Below are 19,608 nucleotides of genomic sequence, written 5' to 3' on the forward strand. Positions count from 1 at the left end.
AAAATTACTTATTGGTTGACAAATGAGCACAGTGTTTGTTATAGAATGGAAACATTTAAGATTCTGGCCTAAGAATATTTGCTGAACAATAGAACAAACTCTTTGCGCTGGGGCGGGGGTAGTGGGAGAAGAAAGCCGGAGAAGCAGTCTGCCCTGCCTCCTCACACACGCCTGGCTTCCGTGGCATCCCAGAGGGGTCTGCGAGTATGCGAACAGACCAGTGACCCCTCCGGGGGGAGGGCATGCATGTGGTCTGAAGTGCAGTGCCAGCCTTCCTCTTCAATCCACAAGCCTCGGGCCAGGCTTGCTCCTAGGTCCCAGGGCCGCTCTGCCCCTCCACTCAGAAGAGTCTGTCTATAGGACCAGGTGGCAGAGGGTGTGGGCCCCACACAGAGTCACCTCCCCTCACAGCTCACTGACAGAGCAGTCAGTCAGTCAGTGAATAGGTCAAATGTTTCAGAACACGCGAGAGGCGGCTGCAGCATTGTGAATGGACTAAATACCACTCAACTGCATGATTAATTAATTTCTTTGAGACAGGGTCTCCCTGTTCCCCAAGCCAGAATGCAGTGGCACAAGCAATGCTCACTGCAGCCTTGGACTCCCGGGCTCAAGCGATCCTCCTGCCTCAGCCTCCTGAGTAGCTAGGACTACAGCTGCACACCACCCTGCCCAGGTAACTTTTTAAAAAGATTATTATTAAATTTCATATTTTTTTTTTTTTGAGACAGAGTCTTGCTCTGTCTCCCAGGCTGGAGTGCAGTGGCGCTATCTCGGCTCACTGCAAGCCCCGCCTCCTGGGTTCACACCATTCTCCTGCCTTAGCCTCCCGAGTAGCCGGGACTACAGGTGTCTGCCACCACACCTGGCTAATTTTTTGTATTTTTAGTAGAGACGGGGTTTCACCATGTTAGCCAGGATGGACTCGATCTCCTGACCTCGTGATCCACCCGCCTCGGCCTCCCAAAGTGCTGGGATCACAGGCTTAGCCACCACGCCCAGCCCTAAATTTCAGATTAGCCTTAGGGGTTGCCTTTGTCCTGCCCTTCCCTCATAGACCCTCTGCCACCAGCCACACCCAGAGCCGGGGCAGGACATGTGGCCACCTACCCAGCCCTCCCGGGGTCACAGGCCGAGAGCACTCCCCAGCTGGCTGCTTCCCCAGAGGGCGGTTTGTGCTTTCTCAAGCAGAGGCAGGTGGGTGCTGCCGAGTAGGAGCACTGCCTGGAGGTCGCGCGATCTGGCCGCCTCCAGGAAGAAGACGCGGCCACCTCTCCCTGCCGGGGGCCTGAGCAGATCAGACCACAAGCACAGGCTGCAAAGGTACCGACCGCAGCAGTGGGCCTGACAGTCCCATCAGCACCCAGCCAAGGCCACAGCAAAGGCACCGGCTCACGCCTGACCTGAAGCGTGGGTGGGGGGACTGCAGTGGCTCACGGAGGAGGAAGGAGGCCCGAGGGGACAAGCAGAGGCCTAAAGGCCAGAAGAAAACAGTCTGCAAGGGGAAGTTATGGGAATAAATACTTGTTAAACTTCTCTTATAAATATGCATTAGAATGTCCGATAACACAAGCCAAGGGCTGTAAAATTAAGGTTAAATCAAGACTGAATTTCCCGCACGGACCAGCAGGAAAGCCAGTTACCTAAAAGAGCCTAATCCCCAAATCCGCTGAAGGTGCAGGGCGGCCTCAGTCCCGGGGCATCTTGAACTGGTCCTTCTCCCTGCGCACGGCCCGCATGGTGGTCACCGGGTCCGTCTCACCTGCGTGCTGCTGCACCGTCTTCTCCCTGCGGAGGCCAGCACCGGGCTGCAGGCTGTGCCGAGCCACGCCCACCGGAGGAGCCAGGGCCACTGCAGAGGAAGGCGACTCGTGCTGGCCGAGCCCAGCCCTCAGAGGACACGGAGGGCGGGGAGGCGGCAGCCACTCCCCTTCTGACAGGTTCTGAACTCCAGGGTCCAGAAGGACTCACACCCCGGCCAAGGTGCCAGGAAAGGCCGGACCCCCCTCAAGAAGAGTGCTCGGGCTCTGCGGCTGCACCTGTGACAGCTCCCCAAGGCAGCCTCAGCCATCTGGGGTCTCGGACGTACCGGCTGTGTGTGCAGCAGTGGGACTGCCAGAGGGGAGGGGCCCGCGCCCACCACCTGCCCTGGGCCTCACCTCACTCTCATGAAGGGGTTGTAGGTAAACTCCTCTGCCAGGGTGGATGGCACTGTGGGCTCCCCGATGCTGTACTTCTCCTGCAAGAGAAACGCACCACTTTATCACGGGAACTTCACAGGATGGCAGACCAGGCACGGAGGCTCACGTCTGTGATACCAGCACTTTGGGAGGCTAAGGCAGATGGATCACTTGAGCCCTGGAGTTTGAGACCAGCCTGGACAACATGGCGAGACCCTGTGTCTACTAAAAATACAAAAAACTAGCCAGGCATGGTGGCAGGCACCTGTGGTCCCAGCTACTCAGGGGGCTGAGGTGGGAGGATCGCTTGAGCACAGGTCGAGGCTACAGTGAGCCAAGACTGTGCTACTGCCCTCCAGCCTGGGTGACAGCGACATCACGTCTCAAAAAATGCTTCAGAACACCTCCTGGTAACCTTAGGACACTGCCCGACTGACAAGGCTGAGAAGGCAAGGTGAGCAGAGCCCGGCGGGTGTGCGCGTGTGGAAGAGGGAAGAGAAGCCAGCGTCCGGGATGAGCCACACATCCGCCTTCCCGCACCGGCCTGGAGAGGACGACAGGGACGGAGCTTCCTTTTCATTCACATGGTTTACATTTCACATTATGGAGGTAACAGCAATGCAGGAGACACAGAAAAGAAACCGCCACAGCTGCAGCCTCACAGCAAGCACGGGGAGGAGGGGCACAGGGACCAGCAGCAGGGGAGGCCACCCAAGCCCCTGCAGGCAGGCAGCTGGTCACCTCCTCTCGAGATGGAGATGGTCTCCCTTCCGACCAGCACTGACCAGGGCAGATGGGGTGGGGGCGGGGGGAGGAGAATGCAAACCCAGCCACGGGGCCAACAGTTAGCAGGAAAACACAGGGCGGCAACAGCGGGGTCTCCACACAGCCCCGGCCCTTCTACCGCAGCCGCACCAGGAGGGCCTCAGGGCAGAGCTCTGACAGAAGCTGCTGGTGCCCACGCACAGGCTCAAGACCACCGCGCCTCACCCCCGAGGTTCCCCACCCGCTATGGGCAGTGGTGTCGGTGAGTGACTCTTCAGCTGGTAGAGCTGCACCAAGCGGGGGTCTGGTAGATGCCAAGATGGTTTCTCACTAATCTGTTCTTCCCTTCTGGCGAAAAGAATCTGAGAATGTTTTAAAATATTCCCTGTGTTCCCACCAACATTCTCAATCCTAAGAAATCTCCCTCTGCCTCCTACGAGGGAAGCAAAGTTAACACTTCTAAGGAGACCTTTAAAACAGAGGAAGTACAAATTGTCATAAGCTTTTAGGTTACCTATTAAAACGAGTTTTAATGTTCTAGCTATTTTTCCTACAAAGTACGAAGCATTTAAAGACAAAAATAAGGTCAGTCAGCCGAGCGCAGTGGCTCACGCCTGTAATCCTAACACTTTGGGAGGCCGAGGTGGGTGGATTGCCTGAACTCAGGAGTTCGAGACCAGCCTGGGCAACACGGTGAAACCCCATCTCTACTAAAATAGAAAAAATCAGCCGGGTGTGGTGGCGGGTGCCTGTAATCCCAGCTACTGGAGAAGCTGAGGCAGGAGAATCACTTGAACCCAGGAGGTGGAGGCTGCAGCGAGCCAAGACCATGCCACTGCACTCCAGCCTGGGCAGCAGAGCAAGACACTGTCTCCCAAAGAAAGAACAACAGGCCGGGCGCGGTTGCTCACACCTGTAATCCCAGCACTGGGGGAGGCTGAGGCAGGTGGATCACCTGAGGTCAGGAGTTTGAGACCGGCCTGGCCAACATGGTGAAACCCCGTCTCTACTAAAAATACAAAAATTAGCCAGACGTGGTGGCACATGTCTGTAATTCCAGCTACTTGGGAGGCTGAGGCAGGAGAATCGCTTGAACCCGGGAGGCGGAGGCTGCAGTAGTGAGCCGAGATCGCACCACTGCACTCCAGCTTGGGTGACAGAGTGAGACTCTGCCTCAAAAAAATAAAAATAAAAAAATAAGGTCAGTCCTTGCAGCACAGCTCAGAAGAGCTCCACCTCGTGTGGGTTCTGGACTCCAGGGTGCAAAAGGAGTTGAAAACTCTCAACGTCCCTCCTATGGGGATTGGTAAAATGATTTATGGGTGACACCCACGCAATAGTATATTTTACACCTATCAAAAAGAATGAGGCCGGGTGTGGTTGGCACATGCCTGTAATCCCAGCACTTTGGGAGGCCAAGGCAGGAGGATCACTTGAGCCCAGAAGTTCAAGACCAGCCTAGGCAACATCGTGTAAACCCCCTCTCTACCAAAAATACAAAAATTAACCAAGCATGATGGCACAGGCCTGTAGTCCCAGGTACGGGAGACTGAGGCAGCAGAATCGCCTGAACCCAGGAGGCGGAGGTTGCAGTGAGCCGAGATTGTGCCACTGCACTCCAGCCTGGGCAGCAGAGCAAGACGCTGTCTCTCCCCAACCAAAAAAAAAAAAAAAAAGAATGACAGGCCAGGCACAGTGGCTCACGCCTGTAATCCCAGCACTTTGGGAGGCTGAGGCGGGCAGATCACGAAGTCAGGAGTTTGAGATCAGCCTGGCCAACATGGTAAAACCCCATCTCTACTAAAAATATAAAAATTACCCAGGCATGGTGGCACATGCCTGTAGTCCCAGCTACTTGGGAGGCTGAGGCATGAGAATCGCTTGAACCCGGGAGGCAGGGGTTGCGGTGAGCCGAGATCGCGCCATTGCACTCCAGCCTGGGCGGCAAGAGCGAAACGCTGTCTCAAAAAAAAAAAAAAACAAAAAAAAAACACACAAATTGTCAAAATCAGGAATGAAAGCAGGAATATCATTACAGATCCAGCAGACATTTGGGGGGTGGGAGTTCATACTAAGTTTTAAAACTATACAAATTCCAAAAATAAAATACAGGAGAAAATTTTTTGACCTTGGGATAAACAAAGATTTCTTAGATGGGAGACAAAAAAGAATGAAGCATAAAAGAATCTATTGGACTTCATTAAAATTAAAAATGTTGGCTCAAAAGATACTGCTAAGAAAACCAGAGGCCGCAGAATGGGAGGCGCCCTGCAGGAGGCGGCCTCTCACCAGGGACTGGGCTCCAGCACCTCCTTTCAAACGGCTGGCTCCACCGCGTGGGCTGGCTCCACCGTGTGGTGTGCCGAAAGACACGGACCAGCTGGTGTGCCCACGCCTTCCCAGCAGGAAAGCAAACACCACAAGCACCGGGGAAGGGGAGTTTGGCAGTTTCTTTAAAAGTCAAACACACCTCCCGTCCAGCCCGGCCACTCCCTTCTCCTGGGTGTTCACACGGGGCTGCGGCTGGGATGTCCATCCCTCCAAACGCATGCTCAAATCTGATCCCCAATTAATGGAGGTGTTTGGATCATGGGGGGAATCCTTTGTGAACGGCTTGGTGCCCTGCTCCAAGTGCGAGTTTTTGCTGTTAGTTCCCACAGGATCTGGTTGTTTAAAAGAAACTTTTGCCTCCCCCACTCTCTCCTTCCTCTGGCCACATGCTTCACACCCACCAGCTCCTTTCGCCTTCTGCCATGAGCAGAAGCAGCCTGAGGCCTCACCAGGTGCAGACGCCCAGGCCATGCTGCTTATATAGCCTGCATAACCATGAGCCACATAAACCTCCTTTTATAAGTCACCCGGCCTCAAGTATTCCTTTATAGCAACACCACACAGACTAAGACACCCAGGAAGTTAATACGCATCCACTGTATTTATAACTAGTATCAACAAATAATCATGACCAGAAGTGCTTAGGGATCCATTTAGTAACACGTGCAAGACCTTGAACACGCAAATTTCAAAACACTGCTGAGAAAAGCTAAAGACATTCATAGATGGAAAGCTCACAGAAACACTCAATGTTAAGATCGCAATTCTCGCCACATCAGTTATCACAACAGTCCCAATCAGCAGCCAGGCTAGCTTTTCTGATAGAAGTTCACGAGATGATTCTGAAAACGGAAATGTAAAAGGCTTAAAACAACTAAAACCATTTTGAAAAAGAACACTGGAGGATTCACACATACCAGTGCCAAGACTCAGCACAGAGTTACAGTCATCAAGGTGCTGTCCTCGGACACCGTGGCAAGTCATAGAGACCAACGAAACAGAGCAGAGACCAGAAGCAGACTCGGGCATAGAGGGCCCATTCTTTTCAGAAAGGTGCCAAGGCAATCCAGGGAGGAAAGGACAGTCCTTCGACAGACAGCCCTGAACACCTCGGGATCACACTGCGAGAGGGTGAACCTCTACCCTCACCTCGCACCACACACAAACACCATCTTGAAAGGGAACACTGTAAATTGTTTGTAAATATAAAAGCTAAGACTTTAAAACTTCTAGGAAGAAACACAGGAGAAAGTCTTTGTGAGCTAAGGGTATGCAAAGATATCTTAGAAAGGGCACAAGAAACATAAAAGAAAAATTGAGTAGGCCGGGCGCAGTGGCTCACATCTGTAATCCCAGCACTTTTGGAGCCCAAGGTGGGCAGATCACCTGAGGTCAGGAGTTCGAGTCCAGCCTGATCAACATGGAGAAACCCCATCTCTACTAAAAATACAAAATTAACCGGGTGTGGTGGTGCATGCCTGTAATCCCAGCTACTCGGGAGGCTGAGGCAGGAGAATCGCTTAAACCCAGGAGGTGGATGTTGCGGTGAGCTGAGATCGCGCCGCTGCACTCCAGCCTGGGCAACAAGAGTGAAACTCCGTCTCAAAAAAAAAAAAAAGAAACAAACAAAAAATAAGTAAATGGAACTTCACCAAAACTATAAACTATTTTCCAAAAGACAATGTTAAGAAAATGAAAAGGCAAGCCATGAGCTGGGAGAGAAAAACATCTTTTAAATATATATCTCAGCTGGGCGTGGTGGGTCACGCCTGTAATCCCAGCACTTTGGGAGGCCGAGGCGGGTGGATCACGAGGTCAGGAGATCGAGACCTTCCTGGATAACACGGTGAAACCCATCTCTACTAAAAATACAAAAAATTAGCTGGGCGTGGTGACGGGCACCTGTAGTCCCAGCTACTTGGGAGGCTGAGGCAGGAGAATGGCTTGAACCCGGGAGGCAGAGCTTGCAGTGAGATGAGATCACACCACTGCACTCCAGCCTGGGCGACAGAGCAAGACTTTGTCTCAAAAAACAAACAAATAAATATATATATGTATATACACACACACACACACACACACACACATATATATATATATCTCACAAAGACTTGTTTCCAGATGATATAAGGAACTCTTACAAGAGCAGCCCAACAGGCCAAACCCAATATTTAAAATGGACAAAAGATTGAACATAAACTTCATGAGAAGGCATCCAAAGGCCGACACACATGAAAAGATGGTCACATGGGGAAATCCACATTTTAAAGGCAGTGAGACGCCACCACAGGCAAGTTAGAATGGCAAAAATTGGAGAGACCGACAACACCAAGCAGTGCTGGCACAGCATGGAGGCCCCGGAACTCAAGCATTGGTGGGGGACTGTAGAACAGTACAACCATTTTTGGAAAACGGTTCACACCTTTAACCACACAACACAGCAATTCCACTCTTAGGTAGTATCCAAGAGCAATAAAAACATGTTCACAAAAGACTTGTACACAAATGTCCATAGCAGCTTTATTCAAATAGCAAAAAACTGGAAACAGACAAATGCATAAACAAATTGTAGCATTTCCACACAATGGGCTACTCAGAAGCAAAGAGCGTGGCTGACCCTCACCAACATCAGCGGGGCCGAGAATGCCACAGAGATGACGGAGCAATGAGATTCTGTTCATGGGAAACTAGAAAGTGACCTGAGGTCACAGCAGAGCAACAGCTGGCGGGGACGCCACATGGGAGGGACACAGGAGCCTTTGGGGTAGTGGTAAGTTCCACATCTGGACTGTGGAGGGGATTACACAAGTGCAAACATCATCAACATTCCTCAAACTGCAATCTGTCCACTCAAGACAGACACACGGGCCAGGTGACGTGGCTCACGCCTGTAATCTCAGCACTTTGGGAGGCCAAGGCAGGCGGATTACCTGAAGTCAGGAGTTCAAGACGAGCCTGGCCAACATGGCAAAACCCTATCTCTACTAAAAGTAGAAAAATTAGCTGGGCGTGTTGGCTGGCGCCTGTAATCCCAGCTACTCAAGAGGCTGAGGCAGGGAGAATTTTTTTTTTTTTTTTTTTTTTTTTTTGAGACGGAGTCTCGCTCTGTCACCAGGCTGGAGCGCAGTGGAGCGATCTTGGCTCACTGCAACCTCTGCCTCCTGGGTTCAAGCGATTCTCCTGCCTCAGCCTCCTGAGTAGTTGGGATTACAAGCGTGAGCCACCACGCCCGGCCAGCAGGGAGAATTTCTTGAACCCGGGAGGTGCTGGTTGCAGTGAGCCGAGATTACGCCACTGTACTCCAGCCTGGGCGACAGAGGGAGACTCCGTCTCAAAAAAAAATTAAAAAAAAAAAAAAGATGAGTATTTATGATTCATCTGATTTAGAGTTGGAATTTGCATGAGTAAATACTGTAAAATAATGTTAACCTCTACTCTAAGAAATTGAAAAAGATGCTCAAAAAACCGGGTGATTTATTTAAAACAACCCTGTCAGAGGCAGCGACTCTCACTCCACTCAGCAGAGGGAGCCCACGCCTGAGACCACCCAGGCGTGCGTGCTTGTGACACCGTTTCCAGTGAATTCGGGGAAACACACCCCTGGAGAACCCCGTCCTGCTCCTGGCAGACTTTGGCCCAGCTGGCCTGGGCTACGCCATGGAGGCTCACGTGGGGCCACCGTGGAGATAAGAGTCCTTTGGACACAGAGCCACGTTCTGTGGCCTGGAGAGCCAGCAGAGCCACGTGCTGCCAGCCTGACCCTACTGCTCAGAATGTGGGAACAGGCTGGGCGCTTTTTACACACGCAGCGTCTGAGGCCTACTCCAGACCCTCCGAGGCAGAGGGATCTCCATAGAACCCCTGGGTTTGCCGTGCAGGGCGAGCTGGGCCACACTGGCCTGAATCCCAGGCCTGCTCTCTGGGCTCAGAGTGTGAGTGTCTACCCACTCTGGCGACCCCGCTGTGCACAGCGGCCCTGAGCAGCCCACAGGAAGGCACTGCGCAGTGACGGCCCCACTCACCTTGGCCCAGGCCAGCTTCTCCCGGATGGCGGCATTGCCGGGCTCCACGTGGCGTGCAAACTTGAGGTTGTTGATGGTGTACTCGTGGCCACAGTAGACTCTCTGAGGAGAGAGGTGACAGGTGAGCTCGGAAGGCTGTTACCACCTGTGAAAGTCCTCAGGGACGGGACCTGGATGCCCCCGGGGGGTGTCCGGTGAGAGGGTGCCAGGAGGGAGAGCAGCCCCGCCCTGGTTAAGGCCCCCCACACCCCGGCCCGCAGGGAGGCGCTGCCTACTGTGTCCGGGGGGAGCCGGCCCAAGACCTCCAGCAGAGCTTTACACATCTCATCCGCAGTCCCTTCATAGAACTTCCCGCAGCCAGCCACAAACAAGGTGTCACCTGGAAACAAGGACAGCCACGAGGTGGGGGCCACTTGAGGCTGGTGGCTAGGACTCAGGAGGGGGCCAGGAGCAGGGTGACACTCACCGGCAAGGCCCAGGCCCCGAACCCTGGCTGCCCTCCGGCCACGGCTGCCCAGACTCAGCCCCCCTGCATTCCGGCTCCCACATCTCCTTCCAAGTCTCAGCTGACAGTCCAACCACCCAACTGGCCGAGCAGACCCGAAACCCAAGTCACTCCTCCCTCACTGCCCCCAATCCCACCAACTGTGGCTCTGAGACCCTCACAAATCCAGCCCTCTCCCCAAACACGCAGCAGCCCCTCTCAGGCCCATGCCTGGCTCCCATCTTCCCTTGGCCCCAGCAGCCAGCGCCACCCTGTGACCAAGGTCTCACCACCCTGGCTGAGCTGAGCGGGACCACCTCTCACCCATGGCGGAAGATGCGGCCCACACCGCTGGGCACCTCAGGCGCACCCAGGCTCCTTCCGGCCTCGGCCTCAGGACGGCATCCCCACCCCATCACTGCCCAGGCCTCTGTCCCCGCTTGCCCTCCTCTTGCTGCTTCGCGGCTGTCCTGGCCTCGCTGACCTCACGTGGCCGTCTGCCCCAGAAACAGGGCAGTCCCCTGAGAGGAGGGTGCCCAGCACCCAGCACAGTGGAGGCCGCCCCACTTCTCACCACCTGGGGCAGAGAAGCATGCAGCGGTGCTGGGCACAGGCCAAGGCCAGGAGTCCTTCTGGGCACGAGAGATGGGAATGGACGGTGGGGAGCCTGTTCCCCTGAAGGGCCCTAGACCTCGAGTCTGAGGACCAGCAGGAGGCCATGGAGTCCCCAGAGATAGGGAAGGGCAGACAGAGGCGAACTTGGGGCCTGGGGCTTCTGCTCCACAGGGCTGTCCTTGCGCCAGGCACACAGCCCAGGAGGCACAGGTGAGACCCAGGGACTCCGTGCTCGCTGCCCTGAGAAGAATCCTAAATCTGAGGTCCCCAACTCCATCCCTCCCACACCGGCACCACCCAGGCTCATCCCCCAGCCCTGCGCACTGCAGCCTGAAGGCACCTTATCCCTCACAGCGAGGCGCCCGTCCCTCCCGCCATGCCCTCCGCCCTCCTCTGGGGCTCCCTGGCCACACCTTCTCCCTGCACCCCTGGTTTGACTCCACCCAGGGGTCCGAGTGTGGCCCTGGGTCACTCCCACCTGGGTTCAAGGCTGGGGCTGCCACCTCCCACCAGGAGGCCTCCCAGCCGTACAAGGCCCACATCGAGTCACCGGGTGAAACCCCGCACTGTGAGGCCAGTCGGGACAAGGCCACAGTAACAAGCACGGGAGGCAGCCCCCACCACCAGCAGCCTCCGCACCGCCTTAGAAGGCCGCAGCCATGAAGGGCCCGGCCTACAGTGAGGCCGTCCCCCGGCCATATGACCTCCACAGGTGGCTCCACAGGTCTGCAACCACCCTGGGAGGCAGGCAGGGCCCCCAGACTAGCACAGGTCCCTGAGTCCACACTACGGCATCAAGGAACACAGCCCCAGGGCTGAGCCACCCCTCGCCCTGCTGGAAGAAACTGACTCCTTTCCCGTGGGACCCGCCCGGACCCCAGCTGTCCAGCAGTCTCCGCCAGCACAGCCCTTGCTGCAAGCGTAACTTCCTTCCAGACCACGATCCAAACCCATCATGGGAGGAATCGGCCAGCCCCACCATGAGGCTCCCCAGCACCCACCCCTGGGCCCCCTCACACCGGTGCAACAGAGAAGGCCACGAAGCTGCCCCGTGAGCCTGCCTGGCAGGAGACACAGGGTCTTCACGAAGAACCCCCGCCCCCACCCACACTCGAACACGCACCTGTGAACACGGCAGGGGGCTCCGAGCCTCCGGGCTTGCTCACGAAGTAACAAATGTGTCCTGAAGTGTGGCACGGGGTCGCCAGGCACTTGACGTTCAGAGACCCCACCTTCAACAAAGCAGGCGACCGCGTGTGCTCCCAGACACCCTGGAGAGCCATCTCCCGGGGTCACGGCGCGCCGCCTGGGCCCTACTGGGCCTCCTCAGCTCTGAGGGAAATGCCCGTGAAGGTGGGGCAGGTGCTCCCCACCACGGGACTGGGGGACTCGCTCACTCCATGGGTGCGCCCCAAGTGCAGGGCCACCCTGGAACAAGAGCGTGTAAAAAACCAAGGGGCTTGTTTCCTCCTTCAAAACTGGGCCAAATCCACGCTCGCCGTCTGGCTAGGAAAGACGGCTTTCCTTCCCACACATGGCCTTTTGTTTTCCTGTCCCCATCTGCCCCAATTCTTTACTTCAAAAATGTTCACACCCTCAAAAAGGCTGAAGACACCCTCGCAGGGCCCTCCCACCTGTGTGCTGTGCTCTGGCACCAAGACCCTGCCCACATGGCCCGCTCCCCAGGGTCTCAGAGCCCTGCTTCACAGCCCCGCACACAGCCGCGTTTTGCACACTCCTCTCCTTGTGCCTAGACAGAGAAGACCATCCACGCTGCCACAGAGGACCACTGAGAGCACTCCCGGGTCACTGGGGTAAGGGAGCAGAGAGAATGCGGGGAGGGACCCCCCTCCCCCACGCTCCTGACAGGGCCACGCTGGAGCACCTCCAGGGCTCACTCCTTACCTGCAGTGTGGACAGGTGAGTGATCTTGTGAGTCAGGGCCCCGATACGGTCGTCACCCCCGTACACCTTCAGTCCCGACTCCAGCTTGACCAGTTTCTCATTCCCGCCAGCATGGTCCCTAGAAGTCAAACAGGAGACCTGGGCTGCCTGCTGAGCTGAGGGGGCTGCCTGCTGAGCTGAGGGGGCTGCCTGCTGAGCTGAGGGGCTGCCTGCTGCTCTTAAACCCTAGTCAAACGCAACACTTATTTTCCACTCACAAAGGAAACCGAGGAAGCAAATCACAGACACCTGGATGATCCTGTGGCCAGGGTTCCGAGCGTGGGGGCCTGGGGTTACCACCTGCACGTCTTTACAAAGCACCACCTGGTTCCCACCCCCACATCCTAGGGCAGTGGGTCTGGGGCGTGGCCTGGGGGTGGATTTCTTGTCCTGGTGCAGTGGGTCTGGGGAGAGGCCTGGGGTGGATTTCTTGTCCTGGTGCAGTGGGTCCAGGGCATGGCCTGGGGGTGGATTTTTGATTTTTGAAGGCCCCCAGGTGATCCTGATGTGCTGCCCAGTTTGTGGCCCGACACTCTGGCAGGAGATCAAACTGTTCAGCATGGGAATCACCTGGGTGCGTCTGGGATGAGCAGCTGGCCCTAGACGCGGCCTGTCTGCAGGGGAGGCCAGCCTGGGCCAGCTCCAGCAGGTGGAGGTGCCTCCTACGCGCCCAGGTTTCCCCAGGGGAGCCTGCCTGACCCGCAGTTCAGAAAGGGGCGGTTGAAGGGGCCCTTCCCGGGTCTCACATGATATCACAGACTCCTTCGTGTGCCTCCCATGAAGACTCCAGCAACCACACCAGAAACCGCCTGCCTTGGCACCACTGGGCCCCAAGATAACAGGGTGGAGTGGTGGCCGCTGCCCTCTGCCCCTCCCACCCTTCAGGAGGGCGCGGCACCACAGGCCTTGGTCTGCCCATCACCACCCACCATCGGTGAGCAAACCCCACCCCGCTGAAGCTATGGCCTGGCTTAGGACTTCACGTGTCGGCATGAATGTTAGAGGGGCCGGGGAACTAAAAAGCACCACAGTGTTAGAAAGAGACGTCTGCGGCGAGGCCGGGAGAGGCAGGGAGCTGCAGCAAGCTGTGATGTGCCAGGCAGCCACACAGAGGCCACCACCAGGGTCCCCAGGAGGAGGCATGGTGGCAGCAAGGGCCTCGCACGACAGGCAGGCCAACGTGCTGAGAGACAGCAGCTCAGCCACACAGGACAAGGGCCAGGGAGGCTGCAGGCACCGCCCCTCAAGCCCAGGTCCCTGCACGGACACCTCTGATGACCCCGAAGAGGCTCGAGGGGCCCAACTCACAGAGCCTGAGACTCTCCAGGCCTAAGTCCAGCTGCGTGTGAACCATGACGCTTCCATCAAACCTTGGCCAAGCCACCAGCACAGCGCTCCCACCACCAAGGAGAGGACCAAAGGCTTCATTTCACCCCAACACAGAGGCTGGGGAAGCCACAGCTGAGAGGCCCTAGGGCAGTGCCAGACGGGTCCTGGCTCAGGAGAAAGGTGCCGGTTGCCCTCGGGCGCTTGCTTGGCAAAAAGAAGTAAGTCTCTCTAGCTTTGAAGAGCCTCAAAAATTTCTAAAAGCCAAACAACGGCCTTGAGCAGGCAATGCCAGCCCTAGAACCCAGACAGGGCATTTTATTCATCCATTTTCAAGGATTTTTAAAAACCCAACCTCTCCAGATATGGCTGCTTGTCTTTGTTTTTTTTGAGACGGAGTCTCGCTCTGTCACCCAGGCTGGAGTGCAATGCCACGATCTTGGCTCACGGCAACCTCCGCCTCCCGGGTTCAAGTGATTCTCCTGCTTCAGCCTCCCGAGTAGCTGAGATTACAGGCGCCCACCACCACGCCCAGTTAATTTTTGTATTTTCGGTAGAGACTGGGTTTCACCGTGTTGGCCAGGCTGGTCCTGACCTCAAGTGACCCAACTACCTCAGCCTCCCAAAGTGCTGGGATTATAGGCATGAGCCACCGTGCCCGGCTGGCTGCTTGTTTTTTTTTGTTTTTTTGTTTTTTTTTTTTTTAAAAACCACTCACCTGTAGACTCATTTCCTCCCCAACATTGAGGCCAACGTGCCAGGGCACAAACCCGCATGGCCCAGGAGAGAGCCGGGGGGTGGGGCCTGAGGGTAAGGCTGTAACCTTCTCCCCTCACCCTCGGGGCCTCAGAGTCACTGAGCACCAGACTTGCCCCTTGGGGGCTACGGTGAGTCCCGGGTCTTTCTCAGAAGTCTGCTGGGGGCTTGTCCTCACAAAGCAGACAGAGCCGTGGGGGGAGACAGGCCTTGATGTCCCTAAACCCACCGGGGCGAGAAGTGAGCCAGGTCCCACACCCCCAGGTGAGACGCGGCACTTACCAGTGGTGGTGGGTGGTGAGCACTGTGGTCAGTTTCACCCCGTGCTTTCTCGCCGCGTCCACGACCTGCAGTGGCCCCGGGGAAGGACAAAGGCCTGTCACACTCCTAGGCCTGGCTTGCTGGCCTATATGGTAGGGTGCCCAGCAGAACCCAGGACACGCCATGAGGGGCCGCTGACATGGCCCGTCCTGACCCTGCCAGCTTGCCCTGCTCCAGGAGAGCCAGTGAAAGCACCTTCTCCTTCCTGCTCAGCCTGACACTCTTGCAACCACCTACGACCGCTCCAAGCCCCTCCAGCTCTGAGGGCACCACCCCCAGAGGCAGCATGCAGGGGCAGAAAGCCCCCAAGAAGACTCAAGTGCCCAGGATTGTACTGCACAGCGCTTTCTGTGTCACTGCCTCTCGCCTCCACCCTTCTTGGAGCCCTGTTAACAGAGTGGCCGGAGACTAATTTCCATTTAGCTTAGGCAAAGTTGCAAGGACACTGCGGTTAGGAAACCCATCGGGGGTGAGGACTCCGAGCTGGGTGACCAGGGCAGGGAGAGCCAGGCACAGCCATGCGCACCTTCTGGGGCTGCACCGGATCCACAATGGCAGCCTCCTTGGTCTCATCATCAATGACCAGGTACATGTAGTTGTCGGTCAGGGCAGGCAGCACCTCTACCTTCATGGTGCCCTCGTCCACGGTCAGGTTCTTCCGCAAATCTGTGTGGCAGAAAACTCCCAGCAGGGCTGGACCTGCAGACACAGAGCACAACTCAGCGGGCAGCCGCGCCAGGCCCTCCACGACAGGACGCGCAAGCTGCAGTGCTTCCCAGCCTTTCTAGGTTCCTTTGAAAAGGAATATTCTGGCCAGGTATGGTGGTTCTTGCCGGGAATCCCAGCGCTTTAAGAGACTGAGATGGGAGGACTGCTTGAGGGCAGGAGTTTGAGACCAGCCTGGGCAACATAGCAAGACCTTGTCTTTTTTTTTTTCTTTTTTTTTTGAGACGGAGTCTCGCTCTGTCGCCCAGGCTGGAGTGCAGTGGCGCGATCTCGGCTCACTGCAAGCTCCGCCTCCCAGGTTCACGCCGTTCTCCTGTCTCAGCCTCCTGAGTAGCTGGGACTACAGACGCCCGCCACCATACCCGGCTAATTTTTTGTATTTTTTAGTAGAGACGGGTTTCATGGTGTTAGCCAGGATGGTCTCGATCTCCTGACCTTGTGATCCGCCCACCTCGGCCTCCCAAAGTGCTGGGATGACAGGTGTGAGCCACCGCGACCAGCCAAGACCTTGTCTTTGCAAATTTAAAAATTAGCCAGGCATGGTGGTGCATGCCTGTGGTCCCAGCTACTCCGGAGGCTGAGGCAGGAGGATCACTTGAGCCCAGGAGTTTGAGGCTGCAGTGAGCTATGACTGTGCCACTGCACTCCAGCCTGGGTGACAAGACAATAACCTGTTCCTTAAAAAAAAAAAAAAAAAAAAAAAAAAAAAGGAATATCTTCATATATCCCTGAGGAGAACACAGGAACTAACTCATGCTCACATTCATGGAAATCAATTGTTTCAGACTTACGATCTCTATTTTCTTTTTTGAGAACTCTAAAAGGACAGGAAGGCCAGCTTGTGATTGTGAGGCGAACCACTGCCAGTGCTGGATTATTCACACCCCGGACTCAGGGACAGAATGTGAAGAAGGGAACACAGACTAGGGGTGCCCCCGCCTGGCCATCTGCCCTCCAGCAAGCTGTGCTGCCACCACTGACTAAGCGAGCCTGCGTTCCATGCAGTTACAGCCCTTCTCAGCCTCTAGCCAGAAAGAACCAATACTTGACGGCAGGCTGAGGCAGGAGAATTGCTTGAATCCGGGAGGTGAAAGTTTCAGTGAGCCAAGATCGCCCTACTGCACTCCAGCCTGGGCAACAGAGTGAGACAGTCTCAAAAAAAAAAAAAAACAAACAAACAATACTTGCTCTTGAACAGCACGAATCTGAGATATGCACAAAAATCAGCAGTTCCTTTGAGACGGAAAGTTGGCCACAACTGCCCCCAGATTCAAGTGTGGAGGACACAAAACCACCATCCAACTGACCCAAAGGACTCTGCCACAGGGGCCCAGAAGGCCCAAGAGCTGGGAGGAGTGGGTGACCAAGGGACAAAAGTGTCTGCCACCCAGTCGACCAATGCAAAAATATTTTCAGCAATGAAACTCCTACTAAATCTAAAAATACCTGGGGGCCCCGACAATACCTTCAGTTCCGCTCTACACGGGGAAGAAACCACAGAAGGTGGCAGAGGACAGTGCAGTCCTGGGGTAGGTGCCACGGCAGGGGCTTCTCCCAAAAGGGATCCAGAAATGGGCAGCAGCCACCAACTGACAGACACACGCGTCTCCAGGGCCCACCGAAATGCGGAATCCGACCTTATTTCCACAGCCGGGGAAACTGCCCAAACTATAGTTTCAATCACTGCACAAAGATATCCTATTACCCGCCTGACAACCAGCTGGGCATTTTCCAGATCATTCTCCTCAGGAACAATAATACCAAGATTTCTATATGAGCAGCTTCCTGTGTTATTCCCCTTCCCCTTAGCCTCAGCACCACCCCAGCCCAAGGAGCACAACAAGCAGAGTGTGGGTGCTGGGGGCTGCAGGTGGGGTGCAGAAGGGTTGTGACAGGATTCCGAGTGCCGGGCGTCCTCCTGGAAAGGAGCTCCATTACAAACAAGGAGCAGAACATTACAAACAAAAATACTGCCCACGTGCGGTGGCTCACGCCTGTCATCCCAGCACTTTGGGAGGCCGAGGCGGGCGGATCGCGGGGTCAGGAGTTCGAGACCAGCCTGACCAATATGGTGAAACCCTGTCTCTACTAAAAAATACAAAAATTAGCTGGGCGTGGTGGCGAGCGCCTGTAGTCCCAGCTACTCAGGAGGCTGAGGCAGGAGACTCGCTTGAGCCCGGGAGGCAGAGGTTGCAGTGAGCCGAGATTGGCCACTGCACTGCCCAGGCGAAGAAAATGTCATTTACAACTGGTGCTCAGCCTCCCCTGGAGACCATCACAGCCTCCTGAAGAAGCTGACAACCCAGGGAGGTGCCTTTATTTCTGAGGAAAGACGCAGCTGGTGCCAACACCAGCAGAAACCGTATTCCCTTTCCATATCACTCAGCCCAGCACTGCCTGGCAAATGTTCCCGGCTTGCTGTTTTGTAACTGTAATACTTTGTACAAACAGGTCAAGGACCTGCAGCCTGGGGCCTGGACCAAGTCCAGAAACATGTTCGGTTTGGCCCCAAAAACAAAAAAAAATTGAGATATGGTCTCACTCTGTCCCCTAGGCTACAGTGCAGTGGTGCGATCAAGGGTCACTGCAGCCTCGACCTCCTGGACTCAAGCGATCCTCCCACCTCAGCCTCCAAAGTGACTGAGACTACAGTTGTGTGCCACCACGCCCGGCTGATTTTGTTTAGTTTTTGTAGCGATGAGGTCTCAACATGTTGCCAGGCTGGTCTGGAACTCCTGGACTCAAGCGATCCTCCCGCCTCGGCCTCCCAAAGTGCTGGGATGACAGGCGTGCGTCACTGCACTTCTTTTTTAAATCAGGAAGTTTCACAGCATCTTGCTTCCCTTGAACTGGGCGGCACCAAATACGGGGGCTGGGGCCTCCCTTAGAATGGGGTACGCACGCCCTGCCGATGCACACAGTCCCGCTGGAACTCTCTGCCTGGACCCTTATGAATGTCCCTAAAACTGTAATTCTGAGGACCTCAAAATCCATGTCCTTTCCTTAGCAATGGCGACATTCTACCCCCTGCAGAGCCTTGACAGCTTTCGGCGAGATCTGGAAACCGCCAGGGACGCCTCCCTGTCTGCGCCTCCGCCCGCCCAGTGCCCTGCGCTGCGCACCCGCCCGGGGCGCTGGCCTGGCCCGGCCGCGCGACCACCTCGGGCGAATGACACGCCGGGTCCCCAGACGGGGGCTCCGGCGCCGGGCGGGCAGCTCCACCACCGCAGGCGGCGCCGCGAGACCGCGGTCCTTGCAGCGGGGCAGCAGGTGCGGGGTGGGCCAGGCGTCCCGGGGCCCTGCCCGCTGCGCCTCAGAGCCGCGCCCCAGGCTCTCCTCGGCGCCGGCCCGGGCAGGACGCGATGCCCTGGAGGCGTCAGGGGCGCGGCCGGCCCAGCCCGAGCGTGGAGGCCGCGGCGGACGCAGGCCTGGCCCTGCTTACCTAGCGCTTTCCGCACCCGCGGCCCCGCGCCCGCTCCGCGCCAGCCTCAGCGCCTGCGCCGCCTCCGCTCGAGCCCGGCAGCGCGGCCTTAGGCACCTGCGCAACAGACACCGCGTCAGCGGTCGCCAAACGACGGCCCGGCGCCGCCCGCTGCCCGCCCCGCCAGGCCCGCGTCCCCCGGCCCGCACCGCCCCGCCGCACCCACCGAGGCCTCGGCGGGCGCAGGCGGCTCCCAGCGCGGCGAGGCTGCGGCGGCCGAGCAGCCCTCGGCCCACCACCATGACCCGGGCCGGGCTGGACTGCCGAGCTGCCCAGGACTGCAAAACACCGGCGTCGGCGCGTCGCAGCCAATCAGCGCCCGCCTCGCGCTGCCCTCAGCCAATCAGCGTCCACCTCGCACCGTCCGCCAACCAATCAACGCGCTCGCGCTCAACTTGTTTTGTCCGCGAGCCCCGACTGCCACGGGCCGGGAGACGGGCCTGGGAGCGGCGGCGGCGGCCCGAGAGCTGCGCCGGGAGAGCTGTGCCGCGAGCCTCCGCCTCTTTTTTGGCACCGCACAGTGGATCCCTGGAGGCCGAGCGCCACGCCGCCCGGGTACCCGGCAGATCGCGAGGTGGAACGGGCCGTCGCTGCGGGGGACAGCGTTCCGAGGCAGTTGGTCCTCTCCGGGATGCCGTAGGCATCAGCTGACCGGCC

The 19,608-nt window shown here is 56.8% G+C and overlaps 1 protein-coding gene across 6 annotated transcripts, besides 3 other annotated features; it reads right to left on the reverse strand.

Moving 5' to 3' along the window:
* On the reverse strand, nucleotides 35-19,600 carry HAGH (hydroxyacylglutathione hydrolase). 6 transcript variants are annotated; one of them, NM_001040427.2, is made up of 10 exons: nucleotides 19,118-19,600; nucleotides 18,913-19,008; nucleotides 15,271-15,443; nucleotides 14,706-14,770; nucleotides 12,303-12,420; nucleotides 11,521-11,629; nucleotides 9,574-9,677; nucleotides 9,299-9,400; nucleotides 2,160-2,239; nucleotides 1,504-1,788 (listed from the first exon to the last, which is right to left on the reverse strand). In NM_001040427.2, the coding sequence occupies exons 3-10, from the start codon at nucleotides 15,373-15,375 to the stop codon at nucleotides 1,689-1,691; spliced, it is 783 nt and encodes a 260-aa protein (NP_001035517.1). In that variant the 5' UTR covers nucleotides 15,376-15,443; nucleotides 18,913-19,008; nucleotides 19,118-19,600; the 3' UTR covers nucleotides 1,504-1,688. The 6 variants fall into 6 exon arrangements, with proteins under 6 accessions (NP_005317.2, NP_001035517.1, NP_001350843.1 ...); NM_001363914.1 differs by having other exon boundaries at nucleotides 1,504-1,852; NM_005326.6 differs by lacking the exon at nucleotides 18,913-19,008 and having other exon boundaries at nucleotides 35-1,788; nucleotides 19,118-19,231.
* Nucleotides 1,828-1,990: a silencer, noted in NCBI's record as "fragment chr16:1859423-1859585 (GRCh37/hg19 assembly coordinates)". NCBI's record gives its function as "represses an EF-1alpha promoter that drives an FKBP-Casp9 reporter gene in an ReSE screen in K562 erythroleukemia cells {active_cell/tissue: K562}" and the evidence as "EXISTENCE:reporter gene assay evidence [ECO:0000049][PMID:32094911]".
* Nucleotides 16,308-16,377: an enhancer, noted in NCBI's record as "active region_10239". NCBI's record gives its function as "activates an Ori minimal core promoter by ATAC-STARR-seq in GM12878 lymphoblastoid cells {active_cell/tissue: GM12878}" and the evidence as "EXISTENCE:reporter gene assay evidence [ECO:0000049][PMID:35858748]".
* Nucleotides 18,582-19,551: a silencer, noted in NCBI's record as "silent region_7009". NCBI's record gives its function as "represses an Ori minimal core promoter by ATAC-STARR-seq in GM12878 lymphoblastoid cells {active_cell/tissue: GM12878}" and the evidence as "EXISTENCE:reporter gene assay evidence [ECO:0000049][PMID:35858748]".

Source organism: Homo sapiens, chromosome 16 (assembly GCF_000001405.40).
Source record: "Homo sapiens chromosome 16, GRCh38.p14 Primary Assembly".
Lineage (NCBI taxonomy): Eukaryota > Metazoa > Chordata > Mammalia > Primates > Hominidae > Homo > Homo sapiens.